Here is a 15,252-nt window from a genome sequence, read left to right on the forward strand (position 1 = left end):
GCAAAGGGGAAGGTGATACATACTTTCAAACGACCAGATCTCATGAGAACTCTATCAACTCTATCACGAGGCAACACTCAACGGATAGTGCTAAACCAATAGAAACCACCCTCATGATCCAATCACCTCCCACCAGGCCCCACGTCCAACACTCAGGGTTACAATTCAACATGAGATTTTGGTGGGGACACAGAGCCAAACCATATCACTCAGGAACCCAGGGAAACAAACTCCAGCATTCATGATAAATCACATTGTTAACATAAACTATTGTTATAAACATAAAGGCATTCATCATAAATCACACTGATAACATAAACACACTATTATGTGGACCAAGATCTCAGGTAGACAAAGACACTCTTATTAGGCAGGATATTCAAGGGCTTACAGGTTATCTTTCAGGGACTGGTTAATGGCCAGCCTATTTTTTGCAATGTGCAGGGATCAAGTACCCCCAAGTTAACTCCATGCTACACAGAGACCTATTGAACAAATTTATTTTTGAATATTGGCTTAAACTTCTCTAGTTAGCTTTATGCTGATTATCTTCATTAATTCAAAAATGCAGTGGGCCTGTAGCAGTCCTAGAAGCAATGTAGACAAACATGATAAAAATGTAGTAGATCTAAAGCTTTTTAAATACCCCTAAATAGCCCTTCTTAATTAAAGAGAGTGGGGGCATTACTGAATTATTAATAGATGGCTGTTAAATTGTAGACCACATTGACACATTTATGTAGATAAGTCTCTTTGCTTTACAACCAAGAATGACTGCATGTGTTGCGTGTACACTTTAGAGAATAGTAAGGCCCTTTGTATAAGCAATGTGTTCCAAACCAGTGTGTTTGGTTTGATGGAACTCTTGTGAAGGAGACAGCCGGATACAGCAGAGAGTGCATCAGGGTTTCTGGTTCTGCTCCTTAACAGCTGTGGCTTGGTTGGCAAAATTGCCATCTTTGGATTCTAGTTTCCTGATGCATATATCTGGATTGTGTATTCCAGACATAAACAAATATCTGGACTGTGTAGTCCTTCAGATCCCGCGCAACTGTTAGTGCTGTTCACCAGATGATCCTGGTTTTCTGCTTCCTGGGGATCTGTTAGGATTGCACTCTCTCAAAGTCTTCTTTTGATCCATGAAATGTGAGTGGAAGTGACACATGCCACTTCCAGGTAGATGCCTTAGGAGCTAATATGTTATTTGCTATGTGTCATGCCCTCTGCTGTGGTGACCATGGAACACCTTTTAAAATGGATAATCTGGGCCGGTCATGGCGGCTCACACCTGTAATCCCAGCACTTTGGGAGGCCGAGGCGGGTGGATCACCTGAGGTCAGGAGTTCGAGACCAGCCTGACCATAGTGAAACCCCGTCTCTACTAGAAATACAAAAAAATTAGCCAGGCGTGGTGGCACATGAATGTAATCCCAGCTACCTAGGAGGCTGAGACAGGAGAATCACTTAAACTCGGAAGGCAGAGGTTGCGGTGAGCCAAAATTACACCACTGCACTCCAGCCTGGGCAACAAGAGCGAAAATCCATCTAAATAAATAAATAAATAAATAAATAAAATGGATAATCCATCATCCTCCTGCCCCTGACAAGCCACATTGGACATATGGCCTGAACCCAAAATAAACCTATATTTTTATAAGCCACTAATTTGGGGGCTGCTTGTTGCCATAATATAAAATTTCACTTAGCTTCATTGACATATCTTTTCAGTTCCCATCACAGTCTCAGTTGTTCATAATGGGCAAACAAACATCTCATGTCAGGTCTGTTATCCACTCTCACCCCAACCTTCCAAAGCTCAGTAAGAGATCTTGCCAAAAAAGTTTATACAGCAGTTGCTTCTTATCCCTGCTAAACAATCTTGACTCTGCCATCCTTCAGGGCTAAAGTCCTCAAGATCTGCCTCATGCATCAGCCCACCAGCTTCCCATCTTCAAATTCTTTTCAGATATCTTTGCCTTTCCATCTCTTACTCCAAAACACTGATTCTTAGAATGAGCGAACCTCAACTCGTACACCCTCCAGTTCACCCTCATTACTGCCAGCCCTATTATGTTAGTTTCCTAGAGCTGCTGTAACAAAGTAGGACCAACTGAGTAGCTCCAACAACAGAAAATCATTGTCTTACATTTCTGGAAACTCAAAGTCCAGGATCAAGGTGTCAGCAAGGAAGGTTCCTTCTAAAGACTGTGAGGAAGATGCTGGTCCAGGCCTCTCTGATAGCTTCTGGTGGTTTGCTAGCAATCTTTGGGGTTCCTTGGCTTGTAGATATGTCACCCCAGTCTCTGCCTTCAGGCTTACATGGTGTTCTCCTTGTATGTGTGTCTCTGTGTCTGAATTTCTACTTTATATGAAGATACCAGACCTACTGCATTGGGAGCTTACCCTAGTCCAGTATGGCCTCATCTTAACTAATTACATCTGCAATGATCCTATTTCCAAATGAGGTCACATTCTGAGGTACTGGGGTTAGGACTTCAACACATGAATTTTGAGGGAGACACGATTCAGCCCATAACTACTCTTTTCTAGCTCTTCTGGAGACACATTTTCCTGAAAGACTCAACTCTATGTCTGGTAATCCTATCATTACCATTACCACCATCCCCTTCTGAAGTCAGACCTTCAGCCTGTACCCAGATTTATATTCCTTCTGGGATCTTGCATCTTGCTTAACTAGATTGTTCTATAATTCACAAGAAAGTATAAAACACTCTCTCAGCTGGGTACAGTGGCTCATGCCCGTAATTCCAGCACTTTGAGAGGCCGAGGTGGGCGGATCACTTGAGGTCAGGGGTTTGAGACCAGCCTGGCCAACATCATGAAACCCCTCCTCTACTAAAAATACAAAATTAGCCGGGTGTGGTGGTGCACACCTGTAATCCCAGCTACTTGGGAGGCTGAGGCAGGACAATTGCTTGAACCTGGGAGACAGAGGTTGCAGTGAGCTGAGATCACGCTGCTACACTCCAGCCTAGGCAACAGAGTAAGACTCTGTCTCAAGCAAAAAAAAAAAAGAAAAAGTATGAAACACTCTCTCATAGACTCAGCTAATTTTTCAAGCAAACAATTATTTTAAACTTTCATCTACTGGGAATCTAAGGCATTCCTGGTTCCCTAGGATCTCACAACTTCAGCAGGGAGAAAAATCTATATATATTTAAGACCTTCTCACAGTTAATATCATGTAACCCTTCAACAATTCTGTGAGAAGGCATTACTATCACAGTTTTGCAAATGAGGGAAAAGATGTTCAGCAAAAAGACTTTGATATTGCTATAATCCAAAATATCAGAAAGCACAAGATATTGGAAAGTAAGGGAAGACACAGAAAATGTCAAATCCAGCTGAACCTTACACCAGTTGGAGAATGTGGAGGAAAAGGTCAGTACTGAAAATATTCTGTCTGATGTGTGATCCCCAGTTTTCATAGTGTTCATTGGGGTAGGAGGGAGGAGAGCTCCCTGAGGGCACTCTTGCGAAGCTGTGGTTTCCAGGAGCACAGCATAGCCTGTACTTCCAATCATTTTTTTCCGCATACTTTGACAGTAGAAGAAAAACACCACCATAAAAATTATAATTTTTAGGATAAGAGTAAATTAATCAATGGAAAATGTTTATTTTGTATGGTGTTAGGAACTCAGGAGATTCCTGTACTGAAGTCCTGACCTCCAGCACTTCAGAGTGTGACCATACATGTGTATTTGAAGATAGGATCTTTATTGAGGTAATTCAATTAAAATGAGACCCTAAGGTGGGGCCCTAATTTTATATGACTGGTGTCCTTATAAGAAGAAGAAATTTGGACATAACCACATGCACAGGGAAGACAAAGTGAAGGCAGCAGGGAGGAGATAGCCATCTAAAAGCCAAGGAGAGAAACCTGGAACAGGTCCTTCCTTCATGGCCTTTGGAAGGAACCAATGCCGATGACACTTTGATCTTGGACTTCTAGCCTCCGAAACTGAAAAAACATTAATTTCTAGGAGAATTGCTTGAGCCCAGGAGGCGGAGGTTGCAGTGAGCCGAGATCGCGCCACTGCACTCCAGCCTAGCCGACAGAGCGAGACTCAGTCTCAAAAAAAAAAAAACAAAAACGTAACTTCTATTGTTTAAGCCACCCAGTCTGTAGTACTTTGTTATGCACCCCTAGCAAACTAATACATCTGGCTACTTCTTTTCAATGGAAAGAGAATTGATAAGAGATCAAGACTTAAAGACAATGCAAAGCTTCCCCCAACCCTTTTTTTTTTTTTTTTTTTTTTGCAACTTAAGAAAATTTCCATTAATGGGTTCACTAATTTGTATATCCACACTGTGGCAAAAAATAACAGACATGGTTTAAATATTGTTACTACATGTGACACACACCCCTAGAAGAGTGATTCCTAAAGTAAAATGCAAATTTGTCACTTCTTTTTGGGGAAGAAAGTTAATTCGTGCTGTGTGGCAAGAGGAAGACAAGTTGACTAGGAGAACAAAAGAATAGATGAGAAAAGACATAGAAGAAAGAAATTGGAGGAACCATGAAGAAAGAAAGAAATCACCTAGAAGTTAAAAAAACTTGAAAGCCCAGGAACACTAAGATGGCATGCATCATTGTGATAAAGTGCCACGGGTTCTTTATGACATGTACTTAGGTAATTATTTGGCAGCCGGCTTGTCTTTATATCTTGTAAAATTTTAATGAAAGTATTATAGAGTCAATCATTAATCTTAGGTGATAAGCTAACATGCTAGCAACATAAAACCTCAAGAATACAAATGTATATTTTCATCATAGAACTGTAGTTAAAGATATACATGAGTCAGGTTGCTTGGGTTTGAATCCTAATTTCATAGCTTACCAGTTGTGTGACCTTGACAAAATTAGTCAACATTCTTTCGCTTCAGTTTCCTCATCTGCAAAAGAGAGTAGTAATATTACCTAATCCATAAGGCTATTAGGGTCAAATGAGTTAATAGAAATAAAGTTCTTAGAATAGTGCCTACAATATAGTGAGAATCATATAAATGTTTATTATAATCATCATCATCAATATAAATTGCAAAGGAATTAGTAAGCATTGGCCAATTGTCATGTGTGCTGTTTCTTTTGGGGATGTTACCCTGTATCTTTTTAATATCTAAAGTATTTGAAGGGAGCAGATTGTGTTGTGTGGGGAAGGGAGCCTTTTTTTTATTATTTCAAAGATGAAATTGAAAGAAAGGTGAAACTGAAAGAAAGCTCTCCTCAGATCCATATATAAAAATGAACAAATGATCAAATAAATGCTTTACCTATATATATCTGTCCCATGCTCTGAAATAACTCCTTTTTAAAAAAATTAATTTTTTTAACTTCCCAATTCTTCTTCAGTATTTTAGTGAGAATCAACCCTTATGAGTCTGAATTTCCAAAAGGAAAAGAAATAGTTCTCATTTTTCTGGCTTACAATTCAGTTTCCATTTCAAATGCTTTTTTTTTCCCTGCTTTGGAATTACGTTACAATTATCACAGAGATTTTGCTCATTTTAAGCAACAGGCCCCAGTATTTAGCCTTTGTTCATGAAGAGGACTGATTGCTGCTCAGACCATGTGCTCAACAGGAAATAAGCATTGATGTGATGATGGCTACTTCTGGGCCATATTTATATCCAAGCTTGAGCATCCATTTGGTGTGGGCCTCCCAATACCCAGAGTAACATAAACCACACACACACACACACACACACACACACACAAACCAACAAATGCTAAGTGAGGGTACTGCTTCAGAGGACCTATCAGAGGAGAGATGCTGGCAGAAACTGAGGTAGAGCTGCTAGGGCCTTATTTCTAGAACCTATGAGTTCTGAGTGCCTTTGCCTGGTGAATTTTTACCAGACAAGCTTTATATACCATGTCTGAGATGAGGGTGGCCTGGGTTCCAGAAAAGATCCAGCCTTTGGAAAAAATAGCCTCCTCATTGTTCTCCGAAATTATAATCATAATAGCTAAAAATCAAGTGTTTTGCTATGTGCCATTAAAAATACAAACTTCTTAACATCCATTATCACACTTATTCTTCACAACAATCCCATACATGTTATTACTATAATAATTTTAAAGAATAAGTCTTGGAGAATTTGAGTAATTTTCCCAAAATTAGAATTTCCAAAATAAAAATTAAATAGTAAGGAACAGAGCCAAGAATTGAAACCAGATCTGTCTGACTCCGTAGCCTAAGCTCTTAACCACTGAGCTAACATTCCCTTACTCTGCCGTGCTGACCACCATTTCTCCCCTTGGCGGTTCTTCTCTACACTACAGCCAGTTTTCTGCCTAAAGCCCAGCTCCAATCATGCCATTCCTCTGCGTATGATATGTGATGGCCGCCCACTGCCTACCAAACTCCTGAGATTGGCCTTCACGGTACTCTACCTCTCCAAAGTCATCTCACTGATGTGCTAGGCTCTAACCAAACCACATTTGCTGCTTTCAGTCATAAAGACAGTCCCCTGCCTCTCTGCCTTCGTGCTCACTGCCCTCTCTGCCTGGAATCTCTGTTTCATCATCTACACTCATTGAATAACCATCACTGCCACCAATGGCTACAACAACAATGGCTACCATTTATTGTGTCCTTACTTTACACCAACTTTGTGACCAGCCTTCTACCCAATGAGGCAGATACTATTATTATTTCAGTTTAAACGGGAAAATATTTTAAGGCTCAGCAATGCCAGGTCCAGGGTCCCACAGCTAATAGGTGGGCTTAGGAAAATTTGAACCCAATTGGCTGAAGACAGACTTGGAGTTCCCCACCACTATGCTATAGAGGTGGGTGGTGTCATGCCCAGCCTTTGAAGTCTCATGCACCACACATGAAAGCCACTTTGCTCAGCCTTTCTGATCCCCTAACAAAAATCAGCCATCAGCCCCTGCTTCCCACAGGGTCTCACACTGCTTGCCTCTGTTGTAAAAATTACTTCACTCTGTTTTATTTTAGCTGTGTCTCTCACCCACAAGATGCACTCTGCTTGAGGCCGTACCATCCATCTTTGCATCCTTCCTGAATCTAGTGCTATATCTGAAGCTCAGCAGGAGCTTCCTTGATGTGTTTTGAATTCATTCAATGACTGTTTATTGAACTCCTACAGAAATGATCTCAGCCCTGCCCGCAAGCTCCCTGGTGTAATTGTTCTTATCCTTTTTTGGTTCACACCCCCCTTTGAGAATCTGATGAAAGCCATGCATCTTTACAACAGAGAAACGCAACAACCAATGAAATTTTACATCCTTCTTCAGGTAGTTTGTGGATTCTGAGTTTAGAGTCTAATTGATTTGAATTCAATTATTAGCAATCGAACATTTCTTGTTATTTCTATTAATCAAGGCTTTTTTTCCCAAATTATAGAAATCCAACTCAGCTTAGTTTAGACAAAAGGAGTTTGTTTGCTTGTTTTATTTTGTTTTTTGGCATAGAGAGTCCAGGGAAATGATTACATTAAATAACAACAACACAAATAGAGCTGTGAGCTTGGTCTCTGAAACAAATGGAGCCAGATACTCAAATATTACTAGGATATGCTTCTTTCTGCAGATCATACCAGCTTCCTCCACCACTTGGAGGACAGAGCTTGCTGACCATTCCTGTGTTTCACTTCTCACCACAAGAGAGGGCTGCCCCTCCTCCATTTGTCACAATTTTATTAAAAATCCCAAGGAAGGATTCTGCTTGGCAAACTTGAGTGACACGTTGTCTCCCAAATAATTGGTTTTTGGAGAAAGAAAAGCCCCATAGAAAGGGGATGTTCTTCCCAGAAGAAGCAGGGGTAGAAGGTCGCTGCAGGGCTTCCCCTCCCCACCTCCTGGGCCCTTGTTTCTCACACACAGCCACCTGCCATCCCCTGCAGCCTCCCTCCCCAGGCAGCACTGTGAGCTGCCAACATCTGTGTGCTGCCCGCTTTCATTCTAGCACAGTCAAAACTTACATGCTCTATGTCACATCCTGTCAGGATGCAACTCTACTTTCTAAGGGCCAACTCTGCTTTCTAAGGCCCAGATTAATCTGGGCCAGGCTATTAAGGAAAAAACAAACAGCAAACAACAATTAAAATTCACCTTAGGGTCACTTTCTTGGGAGAAGGATAAACAGTTTGATCAGTGGCCATCTATAATAATTGTCTTAACCACAAGTAGAGCTAATAAATGGAAATCTGCCTGATGTTACCTGTGCAGACTTAAACAGCACCATGGATGGGGAAAATAAGGATTAGAGAGCTACTTTTATAGATCACACAGCAAACTGGTATCAGGCCCCAAGCCAGAGCTTACACCTCCTAATTCCAGTCCACTTATCTTCCTGCTCTATGCACTGAGGAAAGGTTTGGTTTGTCAGAAGTCCAGTAGGGCTCACCAGTCACTGCATCTGATTTGTTTCCTCACTAAGATAAATTCTGATGCTAATACTGTCCATTAAAAATATATGGAATTAGTCAGTGTTGTGGGAGACATATGTTAGAGGTGTCAGGAGCACAGGTTTCAGAGTCAGGCTGCTTGTGTTCATACCTTAGCTTTATGACTTACGTGCTTGGACAAGTTAGTTAATGTTTATGTGCCTCAGTGTTCTCATCTGTAAAACGGGCCCACCTACAGGTCTTCTAAAGTAATAGCCTCCTTTAGCATTTATTGTTCTCTGTGGTTTAGGTACTCTGGGTGTCAGCAGGCCCACACCAAGTAGATGCTCAATAGTGGCACTACTCACACGTTGGATTTTAGAAGAATACATTAATTCATGAAAATCATCACTTAGAACAGTGTCTGATGCATAGTAAACATTTAATGAATGTAAGCAATTATAATTAAAGGGGAAAAATGAAAGCATTTTAAGGGCAAAGGCAATAAAGTTTAATTTTCCAGAAGTTAAGTAATTCAAACCCTTAATTAGCTAGAATTTTCTTTCTGCTGTACCGTCTTACAAGAACAACACAAATACTGCTATCAGAAATATTGTTTAAAAGTAATAAAACATGAACTTAGACTGGAATAATCAGTTTAACAAAAGTTAACAAAAAATCCAATATAGGTACCTAAAATATTCCTAGATTCAGCCCAATGTACTAAACAGGCTATCTGCATCTGCTGTCCTTTGTAATCAAAACTGACATTCAGAATAATGATTTGTGTCTCCTGAAATCCCAGGTCCTCAAAGACAAAATAATTATAATAATTGCTATCATTTGAGGACTGCTTGCCAAACAGGCATTGTGCTAAGTGCTTAACATACATTATGCACCATGTGCACATACACACGCACACACTCATTCATTTAAACATCTTAACAACTGCTGGGGGAGGGAGTATATTTTTATTCCTATTTTACAGTTAGAAGTACATTTTACAGATGAGGAAGTTGAAGTCTGGAGAAAAGACATAACTTTCCAAGCTTATACAATTGTTACATATGGCTAGGACTTGAACACAGATCTTTCTGACCCCAAATCTAGCACTCTTAACTCTGTTTATATTCTTAATATTCGTTACCAAACAAGGAGAGTATAGTGATTCATTTTTTGTTTTTAACCACAGACAACGAAATTTCTCCTTGGCTCATAACTAGAAAAAACCCTGGTTCCTCACTAGAAACTGCAGCAAATGAAAGAACTTCATCTTACGTCTGAGAATACACTTACAAATGGCTATCAGCAAGGACAGCCAAAAATTAACTGTGCACATTGGATTGTAACTCCGTAAGCAAGATGATTGTGTTTTATTCATTTCTGTCTCCTCAACAGAGCCAAAAACAATGACTTATTCATGTTGATGGAATGTTTATTGAATTAAAAAGTGTGTAAATAAACGTGCATATCAGCCTCTCAATCATGAAGCTGTAATCGAAAGGGGAAAAACAGAACTGGAAAGACAGATGAGATCATTTAAAAGAAACACTGGCTCTAGTGCTTCCTAGCTGTGTGACCTAAGTAAGTTACTTAAACTCCCTGACTTTTGGATTTCTCATTTGGAAATTGAGAGATTGTATATCACTATTCATATTGTCGGGAGAATTAAATGTACCAAAAAATTCTTAAACAGCTGTTACATAGTGGTCACTTGAAACTCCATTTCATTGTTCCTACTTTCTTATTTTTCCCATTTTCACCAAAAACCTATTTCCTTATGCTTGTACCATTGGCGTATAGAATCTATTATTCTCAAAGTCCTTTGCAATTTACAATGGATATCACGTTATCTTTTTTGAACATTATGATAACTCTGAAAGATAAGGAGAATAGAATAAGCTCAGGTTCTCCCAAAAGTTATAAATGACAAACCTATTCTGTTCTAGTTTGTGCAGTGAGTAAATCACAGTGCTACGATTTAAGACTAGATCCACTAGAATAAATTCTAAGCTTTTCTCATACTCCAAGTTGCTTTTGGAGAGGGTGAGAAAACCAAATCTTACAATCTTTCAGATTCATTGACATATATATTCTAAATACAGAATTATATAATACTCATAAGGCTATACTGTATTCTTCAGGTTTAACTCATACTACTTCTCTTTGTAAAACACCTTCAATTGGTTCTTACCAGCAATTACAGCAATTTTTACCAGGTATCACTCTAATGTTAACACCTGATAATGGCAGAGCCACCAATTACAATAATAGCTGTGAATAAAATTTAGAGCTCATCAACTCTAGGCACAGCCACCACCTTTCTTCTGTGGAGTACACTGGGGTCAGATATATGTAATTAATTAGGACTCTTCTTAATATAATTCTAGTTTTCACACATGTATCAAAAGATTTTCTCTTCTCTTTCTGACCTTTGAAAGTGTAAGAAAAAAATGGGAAAAAATTGACTATAAGGTTTATTCTAACCAAAAAGTTATTCCATTTTTATGTGCTATGTTGAAAAGCAAAATTCTTTTTGTACAATTATTAAATTATTCACCATTCAGCATCTTTCTAGGGTGCCATTATATAGCCGAGTAGATGTCTCTGTACAGAAAGAAAAACATATCAACTCTGAGTCACCTCAGAAAACTAACTTTTTAAATAACAGTACATTACAAATATTTGACATTTATTAAACATCAAAAGATATTTGAGAATGTCTGTTTTCAAAGAACACGGAGTTATGCCCATTCTATTTTAAAGACCACTCTGGATCTAAATTTGACTGAAAAGGACAGAAACTGGAAAATAATGAAGAGGACTTGTAGGCAAAGATAGCAAAGATGGCAGATGTCATCTTGAGTCTGCTGTCCCAGCATGCTGACCCTTCACACCCACACAGTGCATCTCTTTCAACTTTATTAATCTTAACAGAAAGTCCTCTTTTAAGATGAAATAACTAAGGCACAGAGTGACTAAGAATCTAGTTTTGCTTTACATGGCTGTCGGGGACCAGCTCAGAGGGAAAGCTTATTCCCCCAAGGCAATTTCAACTCTCCTACATCCATCTTGCCCACCCACCCCCAGGACTAATTCATCTGGAGAAATTCCTGTGACCTACCCATTCCAAATCTGATGTTCCTATCCTCCTGAGAAGTACAGGGTATCCTTATGTTCTTCTGCTGTCTTCAGCTCAAAACAATTGTTATGTGATTCTGAATGTTCAGGCACATGCAAATAGAAATAAAAGCTGAAAGGTGACTTGTCATTAATTTTTGCCTCTGGTTCCTAGTGTGAGTAGAATTATAGCAATTTTGTGTATTAGAAAAGTTATTTTTCAGATAAATTGAGTCAGACTTCCCTCACTCTTCTCTCTGTGGGCCACAGAATCCTGTAGCTATTTTTGCGGAGGCTTTGATGGCAACGTGTTGCTCAGTGCTCACAGCTTACCTGAAGTGATTAAAACAGCCTGCAAAATCATCTGCAAAAGCTGATGGTCAGGAAAATGGAAGCCAATAAAGGAAGGTCATAAAGTCATATTTGCAGACAAATCATACCAGATCTCTTTCATTAGGGGATACATCTATAAGGTGCACTTCTTGGTCAGCCACCAGCTGAGATTTATGAAATCGGCCTAAGTTAGCCTCAAACCCATCTCATAAGAACAATAAAGTTAATGGAAAAAAAGATGTTATGTATATAGTCCAAGATGCCTGAATTGTAACAGAGTAAGTAATCACCCAAGCGATGTAACTAGAGACTTCTGCCTTTAAATATCTCTCTAGAAACGTGCCGTTATGCCTTAAATTTCATGATTCAAGGCCCATTCCTATAGTCTAGGCATTGTTCCTACAAATAGCATTCTATTTTCAAATGCAAAAGCTCCTGGAGATGGGAAGCATGAAGTCAGTGAAACAGTAGCGTGAATCAATATAGGACAACAAAGAACATTGTTTTCTTTGTTGATAGAGGAACTTCAACACCCCTATGGAGCACTGGGCACTATAGAAATGAGAGCACCTGACAAAAGTGAGGGAGAAGGAAAGAAAAGAACTGGAGTAATATTTCACATGTGCAGTGTAGACCTCATCAGAGAATACTACTTTCACTAACTCCTTGACAGAGTTCACAAGATGAGTTTAGCAATAAATAATGTTAATGCTCATATACAAATAACAAGATATTAACTGCCCAAAATGTCAAGAATTATGGTTGTGTTTACAATTTGTTACATGAGGTTTAAAAAATTTGTTTCCCATGGCATTTTGTGACAGAAGAAATATTAACTTTTTTTATATAGATGGAGGTGATTGTATGACATTCCTTTTCTTTCTAAGCATATAGTGGAATGGCTGCAAAATTCTTATTTTTTGCCTTCTGTAAAACAGTTCCAATCTCACTTGCATAATTCCACTTAAAATCATTGGAGAAAATACCTGACAGAGCCTCATTGTCCTCTCTGGAATCATCCATTTTCATTTTTCTTGTTCTCTGGGCTTTTGTTGTTAGTACCTCAAAGCCTGCAGTCTCGTAGCTAAGTAAAGCTCTTGTCGCTGCCATCCCCATCACTCAGACTTCCCTGCCTCAAATGCTGCTGCTGTTCATGCCAACTTCAGAGATGGCTCTGTGAATGGTTCCAAGGCAGCCTGTCTGAGGGGAGCCCAGGCTGTGCCATTGTCAAGGTATCTGTGTCAGCCTCTTAGTTATCAGACTTTATCAGATGGAAGAGATCAAATCGCTCATCTGCTTTTTTTAGTTTTGAATGCTGAGCATCTGGTGTTTGATTGTGTATTGCCATGTAAGAACACAATAATCCTCAAACATTTTGATCACAAGTAGATCTGTCTGTGAGGAAAAACGACTTCCTGCTGGTAAACGTCTCCTTAGCTTTGATAAAAGGTGTGGAAGACATCACACAGCACCTCAAATTGCCAAGGAAAACAGAGCCTCGTAGATCATTTGGAGTTTTGAAAATTCTGTCAGATAATCTAATTCAATTTTCGGTCTAATTTACTTATTTCAAATTATAAGCGAAAAAAGCTGATAGGCAAAGGGGAAGTGAGTGTCCCTGGTCACCACCTTAGTTAGTGATGCACCCATTCTGTGCATGAGGCCCAGAATCAGAATTTTTACTCTAGTTAATGACTGGAAAACCAGAAAAGACTTGCCTCGGGCTGCTCAAGTGGACAAAAGAGCTTTGAATGCCCCCCACATGCCAGTATGAAGGTGAGGGATAGGGAAGATGAAAGGGAGATGAGGATTGACTTTCTCTGAAGGCATTATCATTGGACCTGACACCAATATTCTGGTGGACTAGTCAGCGGGCTTTTTAGATGGGTATCAAGTGTTACTCTTTATTTTTTTAATCTGCATAGCCAGTCTGAAATAAGAAGAAAAAAAAATGAGATATATAGCTGAAAACTATTCAACTAGGATAAGCAATACTAATTAAAACTTGAAAGTGAAAAAGCTTGTCAAGAATGATTTAGTCACCGAGTTGCTGAGTAGTTTTTCCCTAGAGACTCAGCACCTAATTAAGTAGAGAAGTTATCTCAAAGTACAACCTAAGGGGTTGAGTTGTAGGCTTTCCTGTTTAAGAATCTCTTCTTCACATGCCAGCATGGAACTTCTCACCATCTTAGCATTCACATTCCTCCTTTTGAAAAAACTGTGTCCCAGATGGTATGCTTGGAATGAATAACCCATTAATTCTTACAAACCTAACTTCTACCAACTAAATCTCTAAGGTCACTGAATACAGGAAAAGAAAGATATGATAATCTTGTATGTGAGGAGATGGGGGAAAAGAAAAAAAACTAACACATTACTAACACATTAATTACACATCATGTGTCAGTAACCATGCAAACAGCTTCACATACATCACCTTGTTAGATCCCCACAACATCACTGTGAAGTAGATATTAGCTCTATTTTCCTTTTTCGTTTTTCTTTTTTTCGCTCTGTCTCCCAGACTGGAGTGCAATGGCGCAATCTCAGCTCACTGCAAGCTCCACCTCCCGGGTTGACACCATTCTCCTGCCTCAGCCTCCCAAGTAGCTGGGACTACAAGCGCCCGCCACCACGCCCGGCTAATCTTTTGTATTTTTTAGTAGAGACGGGGTTTCACCGTGTCAGCCAGGATGGTCTCAATCTCCTCACCTCGTGATCCACCCACCTCGGCCTCCCAAAGTGCTGGGATTACAGGCGTGAGCCACCACGCCCGGCCGATATTAGCTCTGTTTTCTAACTGAGGAAAAAGATTCATGAAGTTAAGTTGTTTAAGGTCACAGAGCTGATAAACCAAAGACTGGTGTTGCAGAAATACTTATTAAAAATCATGCTCCTCCAATGTAAAAAATTATAGCCACCATGGAAAACAATATGGTGGTTCTTCAAAAAATAAAAATATATTTACCATATAGCCTAGGAATTCCCACTCTTGGCACATACCCAAAAGAATTGGAAGCATGGACTCAAAAAGTTATTTGTACACCCACGTTTATAGTAGCATTACTCACAATAGCCAAAAGGTGGAAGCAACCCAAATGTCCATCAACAGATGAATGGATAAACAAAACAAAATGATAAAAAAGTTGATTTCCCAGTTCTGAAAATCTGAAATCTGAAATGCTCCAAAATCCAAAAGATTTTGAGTGCCAACGTGATGCCACAAGGGGAAAATTCCACACCTGACTTCATGTAATGGGTTGTAATCAAAACATGGGCACACAACACAGTTTATTCAGCATCTGCAAGGGAAAAAGACCCACCCAGCCCCCTTTAGCTGTGAGATATCTTTTCCATACGTGCCCACATTCCCCCACACAAGCACTCCCACAAAGAGTAATAAAATGGCATGTATGCAGG

General features: G+C 39.5%; 1 long non-coding RNA gene across 12 annotated transcripts in view; it reads right to left on the reverse strand.

Moving 5' to 3' along the window:
* The window catches only part of LINC02715 (long intergenic non-protein coding RNA 2715), an 82,249-nt gene that overhangs the window by 34,492 nt on the left and 32,505 nt on the right, over window positions 1-15,252 (reverse strand). For 7 of the 12 annotated variants that reach the window (NR_187370.1, NR_187375.1, NR_187371.1 and 4 more), the window contains one exon: window positions 4,866-4,920. The exons of 4 other annotated variants lie outside the window; for them this stretch is intronic. This is a non-coding gene — a long non-coding RNA (long intergenic non-protein coding RNA 2715). Of the gene's footprint in view, window positions 1-4,865; window positions 4,921-11,503; window positions 11,598-15,252 lie in introns of all 12 variants that reach the window. One more of the 12 variants, NR_187374.1, reaches the window with a different exon arrangement.

This window comes from Homo sapiens, chromosome 11 (genome assembly GCF_000001405.40).
Source record: "Homo sapiens chromosome 11, GRCh38.p14 Primary Assembly".
In the NCBI taxonomy this organism is placed as follows: Eukaryota; Metazoa; Chordata; class Mammalia; order Primates; family Hominidae; genus Homo; species Homo sapiens.